The sequence below is a fragment of the Homo sapiens genome, chromosome 19 (assembly GCF_000001405.40).
Source record: "Homo sapiens chromosome 19, GRCh38.p14 Primary Assembly".
Lineage (NCBI taxonomy): Eukaryota > Metazoa > Chordata > Mammalia > Primates > Hominidae > Homo > Homo sapiens.
The window spans coordinates 18,823,507-18,839,798 of record NC_000019.10 but is presented as its reverse complement, the minus strand read 5'-3'; the positions used below and the strand labels follow the sequence as shown (position 1 = coordinate 18,839,798).

At 48.6% G+C, this 16,292-nt stretch overlaps 1 protein-coding gene across 5 annotated transcripts in view, besides 5 other annotated features; it reads right to left on the bottom strand.

Annotated features, from left to right (window-relative positions):
• The window catches only part of UPF1 (UPF1 RNA helicase and ATPase), a 36,272-nt gene extending 28,432 nt beyond the window's left edge, over positions 1–7,840 (bottom strand). For 4 of the 5 annotated variants that reach the window (XM_017027105.3, NM_001297549.2, XM_017027106.3 and 1 more), the window contains exon 1: positions 7,359–7,840. In XM_017027105.3, the coding sequence (XP_016882594.1) occupies positions 7,359–7,589 (231 nt within the window). In that variant the 5' untranslated portion in view covers positions 7,590–7,840. Of the gene's footprint in view, positions 1–6,008; positions 6,126–7,358 lie in introns of those variants that run through there. The other variant, XM_047439191.1, reaches the window with a different exon arrangement.
• Positions 5,093–5,645: an enhancer, noted in NCBI's record as "NANOG hESC enhancer chr19:18944963-18945515 (GRCh37/hg19 assembly coordinates)". NCBI's record gives its function as "activates a minimal SCP1, AML or CMV promoter by ChIP-STARR-seq in naive H9 embryonic stem cells {active_cell/tissue: H9 hESC(naive)}" and the evidence as "EXISTENCE:reporter gene assay evidence [ECO:0000049][PMID:30033119]".
• Positions 7,227–7,306: a silencer, noted in NCBI's record as "silent region_10421". NCBI's record gives its function as "represses an Ori minimal core promoter by ATAC-STARR-seq in GM12878 lymphoblastoid cells {active_cell/tissue: GM12878}" and the evidence as "EXISTENCE:reporter gene assay evidence [ECO:0000049][PMID:35858748]".
• Positions 7,317–7,406: a silencer, noted in NCBI's record as "silent region_10420". NCBI's record gives its function as "represses an Ori minimal core promoter by ATAC-STARR-seq in GM12878 lymphoblastoid cells {active_cell/tissue: GM12878}" and the evidence as "EXISTENCE:reporter gene assay evidence [ECO:0000049][PMID:35858748]".
• Positions 7,557–7,656: a silencer, noted in NCBI's record as "silent region_10419". NCBI's record gives its function as "represses an Ori minimal core promoter by ATAC-STARR-seq in GM12878 lymphoblastoid cells {active_cell/tissue: GM12878}" and the evidence as "EXISTENCE:reporter gene assay evidence [ECO:0000049][PMID:35858748]".
• Positions 7,777–8,036: a silencer, noted in NCBI's record as "silent region_10418". NCBI's record gives its function as "represses an Ori minimal core promoter by ATAC-STARR-seq in GM12878 lymphoblastoid cells {active_cell/tissue: GM12878}" and the evidence as "EXISTENCE:reporter gene assay evidence [ECO:0000049][PMID:35858748]".

Genomic DNA, 16,292 nt, shown 5'->3' with positions numbered 1-16,292 from the left:
GCTTCACTCTCCCTCTGCTGGCCTCACTGCCCTCAGTCCCACAAGCACAGCAAGGCCAGGAAGTAAGAAAACAGCAGGGGATGGCTGAAGTCCAGGGCCAGGCTGAAGAGGTTGCCCAGCAGCTCGCAGAGGGTGCAAAAGTTAACAGACACGGGGCTTAAAGGCGGGGGAGCATGGGGCCAGGGCTTGGCCATGTTTCTGACCTCCCCAGGGCAGGGCTCAGTCTGAGGCGGTGGACACACCTCCCTAACGGGTGACCTTGGGCATGAGCACAGGGTCTGACAAGGGGTGGTGGGGAGGGAGCGGAAAGGAGCGAAAGAGAAATCAGAGACAGCAAGGCACTGCTGTGGTGGCTGCCCAATTCCGTAAATTTACTAAAACAGCACTAAGTTCTATACTTAAAGGGGCCAGGTGTGGTGGCTCATGCCTGTAATCTCAGCACCTTGGAAGGCCAAGGTGGGCAGATCACCTGAGGTCAGGAGCTCCAGACCAGCCTGGCCAACATGGTGAAACCCCGTCTCTACTAAAAATACAAAAAAATTAGTTGGGCATGGTGGTGCGCACCTGTAATCCCAGCTACTCGGGAGGCTGAGGCAGGAAAATCACTTAAACCCGGGAGGCAGAGGTTGTAGTGAGCCAAGATCGCGCCACTGCACTCCAGCCTGGGCGACAGTGCGAGACTCCGTCTAAAAAGAAAAGAAGGGGGTTCCCTGGTAGGTCATCAGACTTCAATCAAGCAATGAGAGAAATGTGGTGGTAGCTGATGGTGGTAAGCTTTTGTGGTGGTGGTAGCTAGGCTGAGAGGGAACTCTTTTTTTAGTTAGTCCTGGTATAGTATTAGTCATAATCCCCCACCCCGTCATCCTGAATCCGGGTAATTAATTGTGATAAAAATAGAAATTGTTTCGTGTATTCACCACTAACTGTAAAGTGTCAGCTCAGGTCACTTTCACATAATCACTGGGAAACTCCTAACAATTTGAAAACACACTCAGTAAGTCTACTAAGGGGTAAGTGCTGACCAAACACTTGCCAACACTCCTCCAGGTAAACGGCATCTTATCTCCAATGTTCTGGCACCCTAAAACCACACCTGGGCTACCAGAGGATTCAAAAAGCCAAAATGAAGTCATGAGCATTTTTTTTTTTTAAGATGGAGTTTTGCTCTTGTTGCCCAGGCTGGAGTGCAATGGCACAATCTCAGCTCACCGCAACCTCCACCTCCCGGGTTCAAGCGATTCTCCTGCCTCAGCCTCCCAAGTAACTGGGATTACAGGCATGTGCCACTATACCCAGCTAATTTTGTATTTTTAGTAGAGACAGGATTTCTCCATGTTGGTCAAGCTGGTCTGGAACTCCTGACCTCCGGTGATTCACCTGCCTCTGCCTCTCAAAGTGCTGAGATTACAGGCGTGAGCCACCAAGCCCGGCCTGGATTTTCTTCTTTTTATTAAGACAAGGTCTCACTCTGTCACCCAGGCTGGAGTGCAGTGGTGCGATCATGGACATTTTGCCCAGGCTGGTCTCAAACTCCTGAGCTCAAATGATCTGCCTGCCTCAGCCTCCCAAAGTACTGGGATTACAGGCATGGGCCATCGTGCCCAGCTACATGTGCAGATTTTAAACTCACCACTTTTCGGAACCCAAGACTGTATGGAACTCACCCCGCCTTGGTCATAATCTCAGGGCTCAGCAGAAGATGGTGTGTTCACCTGGACAGTCAAGGATAGGTCAGGACAATGGCTTTGAAGACAAAGTAGCAACTTTCTATCCTGAGTATTTTACCACTTCAAAAGGAAAAGTGAGCCCAGGTTTACACACTCAGAGAAGTGGAGGCAATACAGAGAAGTCTGGCAGGAGGAGAGTGAGGGCTGGACGACAGGTCGGCTAGGAGCTTTAGCTAGTTGTCCCTTACGATCCAGAAAGACAGCATGTTTTTCCTAGGGAAACAACTCATGCACTCAGAGTAAAATCCCAGTACGAGATGACTATTCAGCTGTGACTCCCACAGGCTACCAGGAGTGGAGACGGAACAGGCAGTGCAGACCTGACCTGAGGATGAAGGAACAAAGTGGGACCAGTACCAAGCAGCATCTATCTACAAGGTCACCCAGAGCACCTGCACAAAAACATGCGTGTTGCTGCCTAAAAGGTCTGTACCTACCCACAGACCTCATACTTTCAGGTGAGCTAAGAAAAGCAACTCAAACCAATAGGCACACATTTTTCCCACTGGATGTACACACTGCTTTGTTTACCCATTCATCTGCTGATGGCCACTGGGGCTGCTTCCGGTTTGGGGTTCTCATGAAGAGATGCTGTCAGCATTTGGCGCAGCCCTGCGTACACACACCTTCATCTCTGCTAGGTCACAGGTAGGTGTATGGCATGAGAGTTCCAGGCAGCACTTTTGCCAGGCTCAATGGCTCACTCTGTAATTCCAACACTTGGGAGGCCTGAGGTGAGAGGATCTCTTGAGCCCAGGAGTTCAAGACCAGCCTGGGTAACATGGCAAAACCCCATCTCTACAAAAAAAGAAAAATCAGCCAGACGTGGTGGCACACACCTGTAGTCCCAGCTACTTGGGAGGCTGAGGTGGAAGGATCGCTTGAGCCCAGGAGGTCGAGGCTGCAGTGACCCATGATAACGCCACTGCACTACAGCCTGGGTGACAGAATGAGACTTTGCCTTAAAACAAAAACAAAAAACCCAAGTAGCACTTTCAGCCTTTTAAAAAAAGTATGGCAGGCTGGGCGCAGTGGCTCACGGCTGTAATCCCAGCACTTTAGGAGGTAGAGGAGGGCGGAACACGAGGTCAGGAGATCAAGACCATCCTGACTAACATGGTGAAACCCTGCCTCTATAAAAATACAAAAAATTAGCCGGGCATGGTAGCACACACCTGTAGTCCCAGCTACTCGAGAGGCTAGGGCAGGAGAATCGCTTGAACCCAGGAGGTGGAGGTTGCAGTGAGCCAAGATTGTGCCACTGCACTCCAGCCTAGGCAACAGAGCGAGACTCCGTCTCCAAAAAAAAAAAAAAAAAAAAATGGGTGGATAGTGGTATCTCCCTGACTTTTCTTTCCAGTTTCATTGAGGCATAACTGACATACCATAAGCTGCAAATGTTTAGTGTGCCATTTTAGAAACTGACATACATCAATGTACTTAAACACCCATAAAACTATCACTACAATCACGATAATAAAAACGTCCATTACCCCCAAGTTTCCTGTGCCCTTTGTCACCTGCCTCCCCTTTCCCACCTTTCTGTCCAGCCACCACTGGTCTGCTTTCTATTGCTGCAGGCTAGCTGGCAATTTCTAGAATTTTTTTATGAATTAAATCATATGATGAATGACACATACAAAAAAGTAATTATTATGAGACACATCCATGTTGTTGCAGGTATCAATAGTTTGTTCCTTCTTAATACTGAGCAGTATTTCCAACTCTTAAGAGTTTCACTCTAGTTCCCGTTTGGAGGATCCAGGGCAGAAGCTACAGTCAAGAGGAAATATTCCAACCAGGCAGACCAAAAGGCTTGTAACACCAGCTATTATGCAAAGGACTTCTGAAATTACCTTCACTGTCCTGGGAGCAGGAGAAGTGGCAGCAGAGAAGGGCCCAGGAAAAGGTCAGATGCTCGAAAACTGTCCCTGTATCTTAAGGACACTTGGCAATACTGTGTCAGCGCTTTTCATCCCAGGATCTCAAGGGCTTTGATAAATATCAGTTTCATTTCATAAACAAGAAAAGGAGTGTTATCTGAACCAGCTCTGAGTGCAGGGAGTCACCCCTGCTGCCACTTTCCCATCCCGGTGGGGACACACTGTCTTTCAACACACATTAAGGGAAAACCAACTGCGCAAAACCAGTTCAGGTAGGGTTGGTATGGAAAGTGGCTACACACTGGAAAACAGTCTTGCAGTTACTGAAACCATTAAACCCAAGGTTACTACGCGGCCCAGCAGGTCTATAAACACATCCACGCAGAAACCTGTACACTCATGGCCACAGCAGTGCTATTCACAAAAGCCAAGAGGTGGAAACAACCCAAATGTCCATCAACAGATGACGAGATAAACAAAACATGGTCCATCCATCTGGACCATTCCACCCATGGAATATTACTCAGCCTTAAAAAGGAATGAAATGCTGGCCAGGTGCGGTGGCTCATGCTTGTAATCCCAGCACTTTGGGAGGCCGAGGCAAGTGGACCACATGGTCAGGAAATCAAGACCATCTGGCCAACATGGTGAAACCCCGTCTCTACTAAAAATACAAAAATTAGCCGGGGCATGGTGGTGTGCACCTGTAATCCCAGCTACTGGGGAGGCTGAGGCAGGAGAATCGCTTGAACCTGGGAGGCACAGGTTGCAGTGAGCCAAGATCACGCCACTGCACCCCAGCCTGGGCAACAGAGCGAGACTCTGTCTCAAAAAAAAAAAAGGAATGAAATGATGACACATACCACAGCGTGGATGAACCTCGATCAGGTTCATTTTCCTGAATGCTCGGCCAGGGAACAGCTACGAAGCTCACCTTGTAGCTACTTCTCACACATCACGCAGAGTGAAAGGAGCCAGACACAAAACACCATATATGATATGATTCCGTTGATGTGAAATGCCCAGAACAGGCACATCTTGAGACAGAAAGCAGGTGAGTGGTTGCCAGGGGCTGTGGAGGTAGGACGGATGGGCTAAGGGGTGCAGGGTTTATCTCTGGGGTGACAAAAATGTTCTAAAGTTTACTGTGGTAATGGCTGCACAACTCTGAATATACTAAATAAAAGCCGCCGAACTGTACACTTTATATGGGTAAATTGTATGTTGTGGCAAGTGAATTCTATTTCAATAAAGCCGCTAAGCAAAAGTGACTGCAGGGCACTTGACAGCTGATAGCCACTTCCCCAGTAAAATAAAAATTAAAAAAGCAGAATGAGAGTTTCCAGGAGCCCCCAACTTAACAGCTGGTTACACGGCCAACTCCTGAGGACAAACAGGGAAAGTCTTCCCAAATATCTTAGCAGACACTGCCTTCAATTCACACAAGAGATAACTTTCTTCCGCTTTCCCTTGAATGATATTCATAGACTTCCTTGCCCCCAAATTCCGTTCTTCCCCTTGTGATGCAAAGGGGTACCACTCCCATTCCCCACAAACAAATCCAAATTACAGGTAACAGGTGGGTGGGGCATCTGGGTCAATTACAAGTAGCACAGGACAAACCCTCTGATGTCGTCAGAATTCTAGTGAGCTCAACTGCAATGTTTACCTCCAGGGGAGCGTTTTAATGCTCTCCTTTTGTACAGCCCAGTGTGTTCAGGTGCAGGAAAAAAAATCAATTGTTTCAACTGAAAGAGAAGGACATGCCCCACAATTAATCCCAAACGGAATGCCAGAAACAAAAGCAGAACTAAAGGCTGCCCCAGGTTTGCTGTTTTATGCTCGCTACAGTTAAAAGGATTCACAAGAAAATGATTACCTTTCACACCCAGCCAACCCCCCGATCCGCGCTGTCACGCTCATGGCTCACTGCTCCACAGAGATCTTTACCGAGTCTCCCCGACAGGCTGGACGTCAGATTACAGACAGCGTATACAGTCGACTCACACATGGATCTAGGTTTCCTTTATGTTTAAAAGGAATAAAAATCTAACTGCCACCCCCATTTCACAGCTGCGGAAGCAGAAAGGTCTACAGGGCATGAAAACTACAAGGAGGTGGGGCCTCCGCAGCTCAGACTCCCTTCTTCAGGAGAACTCTCCTCTCTCCCTCCCTCCCTTCGCAAAATGTAAACAAAACTGAAAAAAACACCCATACGTGCACACCTGTTCTCCTCACACCCCACCTTCTATTTTAAGGAATATGGGGTTAGAATGAGTCAAATGTTTTTTGCTTCCATTAGGGGCTAAAAGAAAGCCCAAGTGGGTGGTCTACCCACGAGAGTGACTCAATCGACTACCACGTAAGCCCCCCATGCAAGGACAGGGTCTGAGCTCACTCTGGATGAGCAAGGAGTGGTTCCCCCAGTTCTGAAACACCAGCATATGCCAAGGGACACCTGTGCCAAGGTAAGCCTCGGAGCTTCTTCCTGTCGGAGCATTCAGGAAAACAAACCTGAGCGAGAGGTCAGGCACAAAGCAAGCCTAAGGTGAAAGCAACCTGAAATCCAGAGGGTGATGAGGACATTCCCCAGGACCCCGGTGCAACACGCGCCACCCCCCCAGCCCCTCTCCCACCCCAGGCAAGCAGCGCCCAGGACCAGGAAATGCATGCCCGATACTTCTCCCAACCCAAGCCCCCATTTAAAATACCTAAGTAACCTTCTCTAAACATCCACATCATTAAAAATAAGTTTCCAACGTGGCAGACTCGTTTATGTAAAGCCATTATTGCTGTCTTATTGGAAGAACAAAACTCAAACCCAACTTTTCCAAGGCAAGAGTTGTGAAGTTATGTAACAGGTCGGTTTCAGCAACAGGCGATGCAAGAAAAAACAAAATACAACCTGCTTCCTGAATGATCTTAATAGCCAGCCAATATGTGCTCCTCCATGGGAGGCAAAAATTCTTCTCTGCCTCAACCTTCCGCTGGCCAGCGCCCCTATGCATGGGGAAAGTCGAACCTACGCTCCGTGACTGTGAAAGGTGGGGTGCCCAGATGGCTGCGACCACAGATGGGAGGTGGGACAGGCGGCCAGACCCACCAATGGGGAGACCGGGCAGGACCCCCGGACCAGGCCAGAGACAGGATTAGGGCAGGTCACCCTGGATACTCCCGGAAAGGGACTGAGGGAAGTCACTCAAGCTCCGGCCTGAGCAAGACCCGGCCCAGGTCGTAGGAGAACTCGAGGCAGAATACCGAGACCTGCGAAAGAGGGACCAGGGCAGGTCACCCTAGCCCGGATGGAATGGAAGAACTCAGATAAGTCAGGGGGCAGGTTACTCCAGGCCAGACTGATTGTGGGACACAAGGCAGGTCAGCCCGGGCCCAGGAGGGGGAGCAAACCCAGCTGGCGTAAAGGAACAGGGTCAGGTTAGCTCGGTCCCGAACGAAGTGGAGGACTCGAGGCAAGTCTGCCCGGCCCAGGAGTTGGGGGCCGAAGGAACTCAGCCAGGTCGCGGCCGGAGCGGGGGACCCGGGGCAGATCAGGCCAGGCCCGGGCAGATTGCAGGACCTGGGGCAGGTAAGCTCAGGCCGAGCCAGAGTAGGGGACCCGGGGCAGATCGCCCCAGGCCCGGCCGCGATGGGGGACTCCGGCCAAACACAGGCCGGGCCCGAGGCGAGTTCGGGGCAGGTCTCAGGCGCCGAGGCCGGGCCCGGGCTTCCGGCACCGCCATGTGCCGCTCACCTGCGCGTCGAGCTGTCCCGCCGCAGCGCCCGCGCCCGCGCCGCCCGGGCCTCCCGCGCCGCCACCGCCCGGGCCGCCGGGGCCGCCGGGGGGCGTCTGCGTCTGGCTAGGAAGAGTAAAGTCGGTGAACTCGAACTCGGAGCCCTGTGTGTCGGCGCCAAGCAGCTCGGCCTCCTCCGTGTCCAGGAAAGTGAGAGTCTGCGAGCTGGGCCCGTACGCCTCCACGCTCATGGTGCCTCCGGGTAGGGCCCTCGGGCCGGTTCCGCGCTGCACTCGAGCCCGCCGCCGCGCTGAGGCCTAGGCCGCAGGCCTCGGGTCGCTGCCGCTGTCGCCCCCGCGCGCCCGGAAAGGACCAAACCGCGCGCCCCGGCGCCAGCCGGACCGAGAGGTAACAGTGCCGAGCCGCCGCCGCTGCCGCCGAGCCCCTCCGCGCCTCAGCTCCCCTCGAAGCCGCCAGCCGCTCGCAGCCTAGAGCAGGAACTGCCGCCACCGCCGCCGTCGCCGTGCGCGTGCGCGAGCCCGACGCCGGCGGAAGCGCGCGCGCTCTTCGCGGGCGCCTGGTGCCCAGCAGGAAGACGGGACGCGCACCGCGCACGCGCAGGGGGTGGGGCTTTCAACCGCCGCTGCGGCGGCAGCTCGAGGACTTGGTCCCGCCCCAACTGCTAATTGGGGACGCCCGGGCGGCTGGCGGTGTGGACTTGGTGGTCTGCACCTGTGGTCGCTGCGACGGTGTTTCGGTTTAATTGAGCGCTAGCCGAATACCCTACATAGGTGGTCTCGGAACGCCCAACTGGAGAGACTGGGCAGGGACGGTGCGCTCCCACTCCTGGCAAAAGCTGCTTGGAACTCAGTTTCCCCATCTGTAAAATGGAGGGTGCCTCGCACATAGTAGATGCTCCCTGTGCATTGGTTTAAAAAGGGAGTGGGGCTCGGCGCGGTGGTCACACCTGTAATCCCAACACTCAGAGGCTGAGGCGGGAGAACTGCTTGAACTCAGGAGTTCGAGACCAGCCTGGGAGACAGAGTGAGACTCCATCTCTACAAAAAATATAAAAATTAGGCCGAGCGCGGTGGCTCACGCCTGTAATCCCAGCACTTTGGGAGGCCGAGGCGGGTGGATCATGACGTCAGGAGATCGAGACCATCCTGGCTAACATGGTGAAACCCCGTCTCCACTAAAAATACAAAAAATTAGCCAGGCGTGGTGGCACGAGCCTGTAGTCCCAGCTACTCAGGAGGCTGAGGCAGGAGAATCGCTTGAACCCAGGAGGCGGAGGTTGCAGTGAGCCAAGATTGTGCCACTGCACACCAGCCTGGGCAACAGAGTGAGACTCTGTCTCAAAAAAAAAAAAAAAAATTAGCTAAGCGTGGTGGTTCGCACCTGTAGTCCCAGCTACTAGGGAGGCTGAGGTGGGAGGATCGCTTGACCCTGGGAAGTTGAGGCTGCAGTAAGCCGAGATTGCACCACTGCACTCCAGCCTGGGTGACAGAGCGAGACCCTGTCTCAAAAATAAGTAAAAATAAATGAATGGGGATAGTCTTACGTACTGGGCCTGGCACTTGGAAATGATGGTTGCTGCTGTTCCTGATGCCTCTGCCACTGTTATTATACCATTACTATTTTTGCTATGATTATTATTTAGTGGACGTATACAGCAAAACAACTGGAAGCACATGGTCTGTGGTGGACTCTAGACCTGACCACTTACCAGCTGTGTGAAATTATACAAGTGACTTAACCTCTCTGAGCCTAGGGTTTCTGTTGCCATTAAGGTGGCATAGGAAGCCTGGGCAAGGTGGCTCTTTCCTGAAATCCCAGCACTTTAGGAGGTAGAGGCAAGAGAATCACTTGAGCTCAGGAGTTTGAGGCTGCGGTGAGCTATGATTGTGCCACTGCACTCCAGCCTGGGTGACAGAGATCCTATGTGTGTGTGTGTATATTAATATATATTTATTTATGTTAATATAAATAGAGTGACTAGTAGCTCATTTATTCCTCTCATACTCTCATGTGATATATGGTTGCTGCTGATATATATGGAGCCCGGTGCGGTGTGTCACGCCTGTAATCCCAGCACTTTCGGAGGCCAAAAGAGCAAGACCTTGTATAAAAATAAATTTTAAAAACTCTGATAGGTGTTACTAAATTGATCTGAAATTTGTCTACAAATTCCACTGGATGTGTTCCAAAGAGAGCTTTGCATGATATTAAAATTATCTGTTGGTCTGTCAGTATTCCCCCTTAAACTGTGCCTTCTTGGAGAGGGAGACCTACTTTTATTCATTGTTTATATTCCTACAGTTTAGTGCATGCTAGGAGCCCCCCCCGAAATGTTATTTTTATTTTTTATTTTTTGTAGAGATGGGGGTTTTGCTGTTTCCTAGGCTGGTCTTGTACTCCTGACCTCAAGTAATCGTCCCACCTCAATCTTCCAAAGAGCTGTGATTATAGGTATGAGCCACTATGTCTTGTCCCTGAAAAAGAGTGAAGAAGGCTGTGGCTCACACCTGTAATCCCAGCACTTTGGGAGGCAGAGGCAGGTGGATCACCCAAGGTCAGGAGTTCGAGACCAGCCTGGCCAACGTGGTGAAACCCCGTCTCTACTAAAAATACAAAAATTAGCCGGGTATGGTGCGTGCCTGTAATCCTAGCTACTTGGGAGGCTGAGGCAGGAGAACTGCTTGAACCCAGGAGGCGGAGGCTGCAGTGAGCCAACATTGCACCACTGCACTCCAGCCTGGGTGACAGAGCGAGACTCCGTCTCAAAAAAAAAGTGTATATATATATATATATATATATATATATATATATATATATATACATATATATATATGTATATATATATATGATGTATATTATATATCTCACTGTATATATGAGAGGAATAAATGAGCTACTAGTCACTTTATTATATATATAGAGAGAGTGCGCGTATATACATATATATACACACTGTATATATAAGAATAAGTGAGCTACTAGTCACTCTATTATATATAGAGACAGAGATAGACAGTGCGTGTATATACATATATATACACACTGTATATATAAGAATAAATGAGCTACTAGTCACTCTATTATATATAGATAGGGAGTGTGTGTGTGTATATATATATACACTCTATCTCTCTCTCTCTGTGTGTATATATATATATATATATATATGAGAGGAATAAATGAGCTACCAGTCACTCTCTTAATGCATAGTTCCATAAGGACAGGGTGTTGGCCTTGTTCATTATGATCTTCCCCACGGAGAGAATGATGCCTCATACAGTAGGTGCTCAATAAAAAGTTTTCTGACACTTTAAATCCAAGGTAAGCTACTGGTTTATGGGCCTTAATTTCCTAACCCCAGGCGTTCGCTTCCTCTCTGGTAAAGTATCTTGGAAAACACCCTCATTTCCCTTTCTGTCCCAAGATTCTGCTGCTCTTTAAATAAGTCAGCTGAAAGAGCTCCTAGCTTGCACAGCTGAACTAAAAGTTCCCAGTTTGCCGTGGTTCCTTATTTCCAATTTGCCTGTTTATCATCACAGGGACAGAGGTTCTGTTCTCCTTCTTCACATTTTTTTTTTTTTCCCTGAGACGGAGTTACACTCAGTCGCCCAGGCTGGAGTACAATGGCACAATCTTGGCTCACTGCAACCTCCACCTCCTGGGTTCAAGCAATTTTCCTGTCTCAGCCTCCCAAGTAGCTGGGATTACAGGCACCTGCCACCATGCCCGGCTAATTTTTTTGTATTTTTAGGAGAAATGGGGTTTCACCATGTTGGCCAGGCTGGTCTCGAACTCCTGACCTCGGGTGATCCACCTGCCTCTGCCTCCCAAAGTGCTAGGATTACAGGTGTGAGCCACAGCCTTCTTCACTCTTTTTCAGGGACAAGACATAGTGGCTCATACCTATAATCACAGCTCTTTGGAAGATTGAGGTGGGACGATTACTTGAGGTCAGGAGTACAAGACCAGCCTAGGAAACAGCAAAACCCCCATCTCTACAGAAAATAAAAATAACATTTCAGGGGGGCTCCTAGCATGCACTAAACTGTAGGAATATAAACAATGAATAAAAGTAGGTCTCCCTCTCCAAGAAGGCACAGTTTAAGGGGGAATACTGACAGACCAACAGATAATTTTAATATCATGCAAAGCTCTCTTTGGAACACATCCAGTGGAATTTGTAGACAAATTTCAGATCAATTTAGTAACACCTATCAGAGTTTTTAAAATTTATTTTTAGACAAGGTCTTGCTCTGTCACCCAGACTGGGGTGCAGTGGTGTGACCCAGCTCACTGCAGTCTCAACCTTCTGGGCTCAAGGGATCCTCCCACCTCAGCCTCATGAGTAGCAGGGACTACAGGCACACACCACCACACACAGCTATCTTTTAAATTGTTTATTTGTAGAGACAGTGTCTTACTATGTTGCTCAGGCTGGTCTCAGTCTCCTAAGCTCAAGCGATCCTCCCTCCTCAGCCTCCCAAAGTGCTGGGATTACAGGCGTGAGCCACCACACCCAGCCCACCTTTCAGAGTTTTAATTGCCCCTCTCCCACTTTGACCCACCTACTCCATTTCTAAAGATCTCTTCTTATTTCCTGTATACACTCACAATTGCAAAGTGACATTGGGATGGTACATTAGAATACATCTATTTAAAGAAAAAGACCAAAAAAAAAAAAAAACCACATCTATTTAACAAAAAAGAAGTCAGTAGTGGAGGAATTGAACAAAAAAGACATAAGATGTATAGAAAAATAGGAGGCCAGGTGCGGTGCCTCACACCTGTAATCCCAGCACTTTGAGAGGCTGAGGCAGGTGGGCAGGTGGATCCCTTGAGGTCAGGAGTTTGAGACTAACCTAGCCAACGTGGTGAAACCCCATCTCTATGAAAAATACAAAAATTAGCCAGGCATGGTAGCACACACCCGTAATCCTGGCTACTCGGGAGGCTGAGGCACGAGAATCACTTGAACCCGGGAGGCAGAGGTTGCAGTGAGCCGAGATCACGCCACTGCACTCCAGCCTGGGTGACAGAGTGAGACTCCGTCTCAAAAAAAAGAAAAAGAAACATCAGAAAATGGCAGAAATAAGTGCTCATCAGCAATTACATTAAATGTAAATGGATTAAACTCTACCTAAAATGCAGAGTGTGTCAGAATGGATTTAAAAAGAAATCAAGGCTGGTCACTGTGGATCACGCCTATAATCCCAGCAGCTTGGGAGGCCAAGGTAGGAGGAGGAGTGTTTGAGTAAAGGAGTTTGAGACTAGCCTGGGCAATAGAGTGAGACCCTGTCTCAAAAAAAAAGTGTTGTTTTTTTTTTTTGTACAGACAGGGTCTCACTCTATTGTGGGTGCTGGAGCACAATGTTGCAATCTCTGCCTACTGCAACCTCGACCTCCCAGGCTCAAGTGATCTCCCTGCCTCAGCCTCCAGAGTAGCTGAGACTACAGGTGTGTGCCACCACGCCTGGTTAATTTTTTTTTATTTTTTGTAGAGAAAGGGTCTTGCTATGTTGCCCAGGCTGGTCTCGACCTTCTGGGCTCAAGTGATCTGTCCACCTCAGCCTCCCAAAGTGCTGGGATTACAGGCATGAGCCACTGTGCCTGGCCTATACCCCACTTTTATTTTTATTATTTATTTATTTATTTTTGAGACAGTCTCACTCTGTTGCCCAGGCTGGAGTACAGTGGTGTGATCTCAACTCACTTCAACCTCCACCTCCCAGGTTCAAGCAATTCTCCTACCTTAGCCTCCAGAGTAAGCTGGGATTACAGGCACACACACCATGCCCGGCTAATTTTTTTGTATGTTTAGTAGAGATGGGGTTTCACCGTGTTGGCCAGGCTGGTCTTAATCTCCTGACTTCAAGTGATCTACCCGCCTTGGCCTCCCAAAGTGCTAGGATTACAGGTATGAGCCACCGTGCCCAGCCACCCCACTTTTAAAAATGGATAAAATAACTAGACAGAAGATCATCAAGGAAACAGAAAATTTCATCAAAACAATTATCCAACTAGACCTAACAGACATTTATAGAATTCTCTGCCCAACAATGACAGAATACATGTTCCTTCCAAAGGCACATGGAACATTTTCTTGAATACAGCAAATATCAGGTCACAAGTATCAATACATTTAAGAAGACTGAAATCATACAAAATATATTTTCTTACCACAGTGGCATGAAAATAGAATTTAATAACAGAAGGAGATTTAGAAAATTAACAAATATGAATTTGTGATTCATACTGATTAAAAATATGTTTCTAAATTATGGAGTTAAAGAAAAAATTAAAAGGGAAATTAGAAAGTACTTTAAAATGAATAACAATTCAAATATAAAATACCGAAACTATGGGATGGAGCAAAAGCAGTGCTCAGAGGGAAATTCATAGCTATAAATGTCTACATCAAAACAGAGGCTCTCAGCTGGGCACAGTGGCTCATGCCTGTAATCCCAGCAATTTGGGAGGCCGAGGCGGGCAGATCACTTGAGGTCAGGAGTTCGAGACCAGCCTGGCCAACATGGTGAAACCCCATCTCTACTGAAAATACAAAAATTAGCTGGGTGTAGTGGCGCACACCTGTAATCCCATCTTCTAGGGAGGCTGAGGCAGGAGAATCACTTGAACCCAGGAGGCAGAGGTTTCAGTGAGCTGAGATCTCACCACTGCATTCCAGCCTGGGCAACAGAATGGGACTCCGTCTAAAAAAAAAGCAAACAAAACACAGAGGATCTCAAATCAATAACTTAAGCTTCCTACATTAAGAAACTAGAAGACGAGCAAATAAACCCAAAGAGGGAAGGAAATACTGAAGATTAGAACAGAGAAAAATAAGAAAGGGAATAAAATGCATGGCTGGGCACAGTGGCTGATGCCTGACACTGGCACTTTGGGAGGCTGAAGTGGGAGAATCACTTGACCTCAGTTCAAGACCAACCTGGGCAACATAGCAAGACCTCGTCTCTACTAAAAATAAATCATTCAGGTGTGGTGGTGGGCGCCTGTGGTTCCAGACACTCAGGAGGCCAAGACAGGAGGATTCCTTGAGCCTGGGAGGTCCAGGCTGCAGTGACCTATGACTGCACTTCAGCCTGTGCGATGAAGTGAGACCCTCTCTCAAACAAACAAACAAACAAAAAAAACAGAAAAAGAAAAAGAAAAGCAATAGAGAAAATGAATAAAACTAAAAGTTCATTATCTGAAAAGACTAAGAAAATTGGCCGGGCGCGGTGGCTCACGCCTGTAATCTCAGCACTTTGGGAGGCCAAGGCGGGTGGATCACAAGGTCAGTAGTTCAAGACCAGCCTGGCCCAAATGGTGAAACCCCGTCTCTACTAAATATACAAAAATTAGCTGGGTGTGGTGGCAGGCACCTGTAATCCCAGCTACTCGGGAGGCTGAGGCAGGAGAATCACTTGAACCCGGGAGATGGAGGTTACGGTGAGCCAATATCGTGCCACGGCACTCCAGCCTGAGTGACAGAGTAAGACTCCATCTCAAAAAAAAAGAAAAAAGAAAAAAGAAAAGAAAATTGACGGCCAGGCGCGGTGGCTCACGCCTGTAATCCTAGCTCTTTGGGAGGCTGAGGAGGGCGAATCCCCTGAGGTCGGGATTTTGAGACCAGCCTGACCAACATGGAGAAACCCTGTCTCTACTAAAAATACAAAAAATTAGCCAGGCATGGTGCTGCATGCCTGTAATCCCAGTTACTTGGGAGGCTAAGGCAGAATTGCTTGAACCTGGGAGGTGGAGGTTGCAGTGAGTGGAGATTGCGCCACTGCACTCCAGCCTGGTCACCAAGAGCAAAAACTCCATCTCAAAAAAAAAGAAAAAAAGAAAATTGATGAAACTTTAGCTAGATTGACCAAGGAAAACAGGAAAGAGACTCAGATTACTAAAATCAGGAATGAAAGGGAAGACAATACTACTGGCTTTACAGAAACAGAAAAGAGTATAAGTATAAGCAGTTGAGGCCTGGCGCAGTGGCTCACGCCTGGAATCCCAGCACTTTGGGAGGCCGAGGCAGGCGGATCACGAGGTCAAGTGATCCAGACTATCCTGGCCAACATGGTGAAACCCCGTCTCTACTAAAAATACAAAAAAAATAGCTGGGCCTGGTGGTGTGTGCCTGTACTCCCAGCTACTTGGGAGGCCAAGCCAGGAGAATCGCTTGAACCCGGGAAACGGAGGTTGCAGGGAGCCGAGATTGTGCCACTGCACTCCAGCCTGGCGACAGAGCGAGACTCCATCTCAAAAAAATAAAAATAAATAAATAAATAAAATAAAATAAAAAGTATGAGCAATTGGGTGACCACATACTGAATAAGCTAAATGAAATGGAAAATTTTCTAGAAACACAAAAACTACTAAAACTGACTCAAGAATAAATACAAAACTGCTGGGTGCGGTGGCTCATGCCTGTAATCCCAGCACTTTGGGAGGCCGAAGCGGGCAGATTGCTTTTAGCTCAGGAGTTAGAGACAAGCCTGGGCAACATAGTGAGACCCCCATCTCTACAAAAAAATACACAAAATAGCTGGGTGTGGTGGCGCATACCTGTAGTCTCAGCTTCACAGTAGGCTGAGGCAGGAGGATCGCTTGAGTATGCCTGGGAGGTGGAGGTTGCAGTGACCTGAGATCACACTACTGCACTCCAGCCTGGGCTACAGAGCAAGACCCCATCTCAGAAAAAAAAATACAAAAGCTACATAGACCTACAACAAGTAAAGTTAGTAATTAAAGAATCCAGCAAAGAAAATCCCAGGAATAGATGGTTTTGCTGATTTATTCTACCAATTTTTTTGTTTTTTTTGAGACAGGGTCTTGCTGTGTTGCCCAGGCTAGAGTGCAGTGGTGTGCTCATAGCTCACTGCAGCCTCCAACTCCTGGGCTCAAGCCATCCTCCCACCTCAGCATCCTAGGAC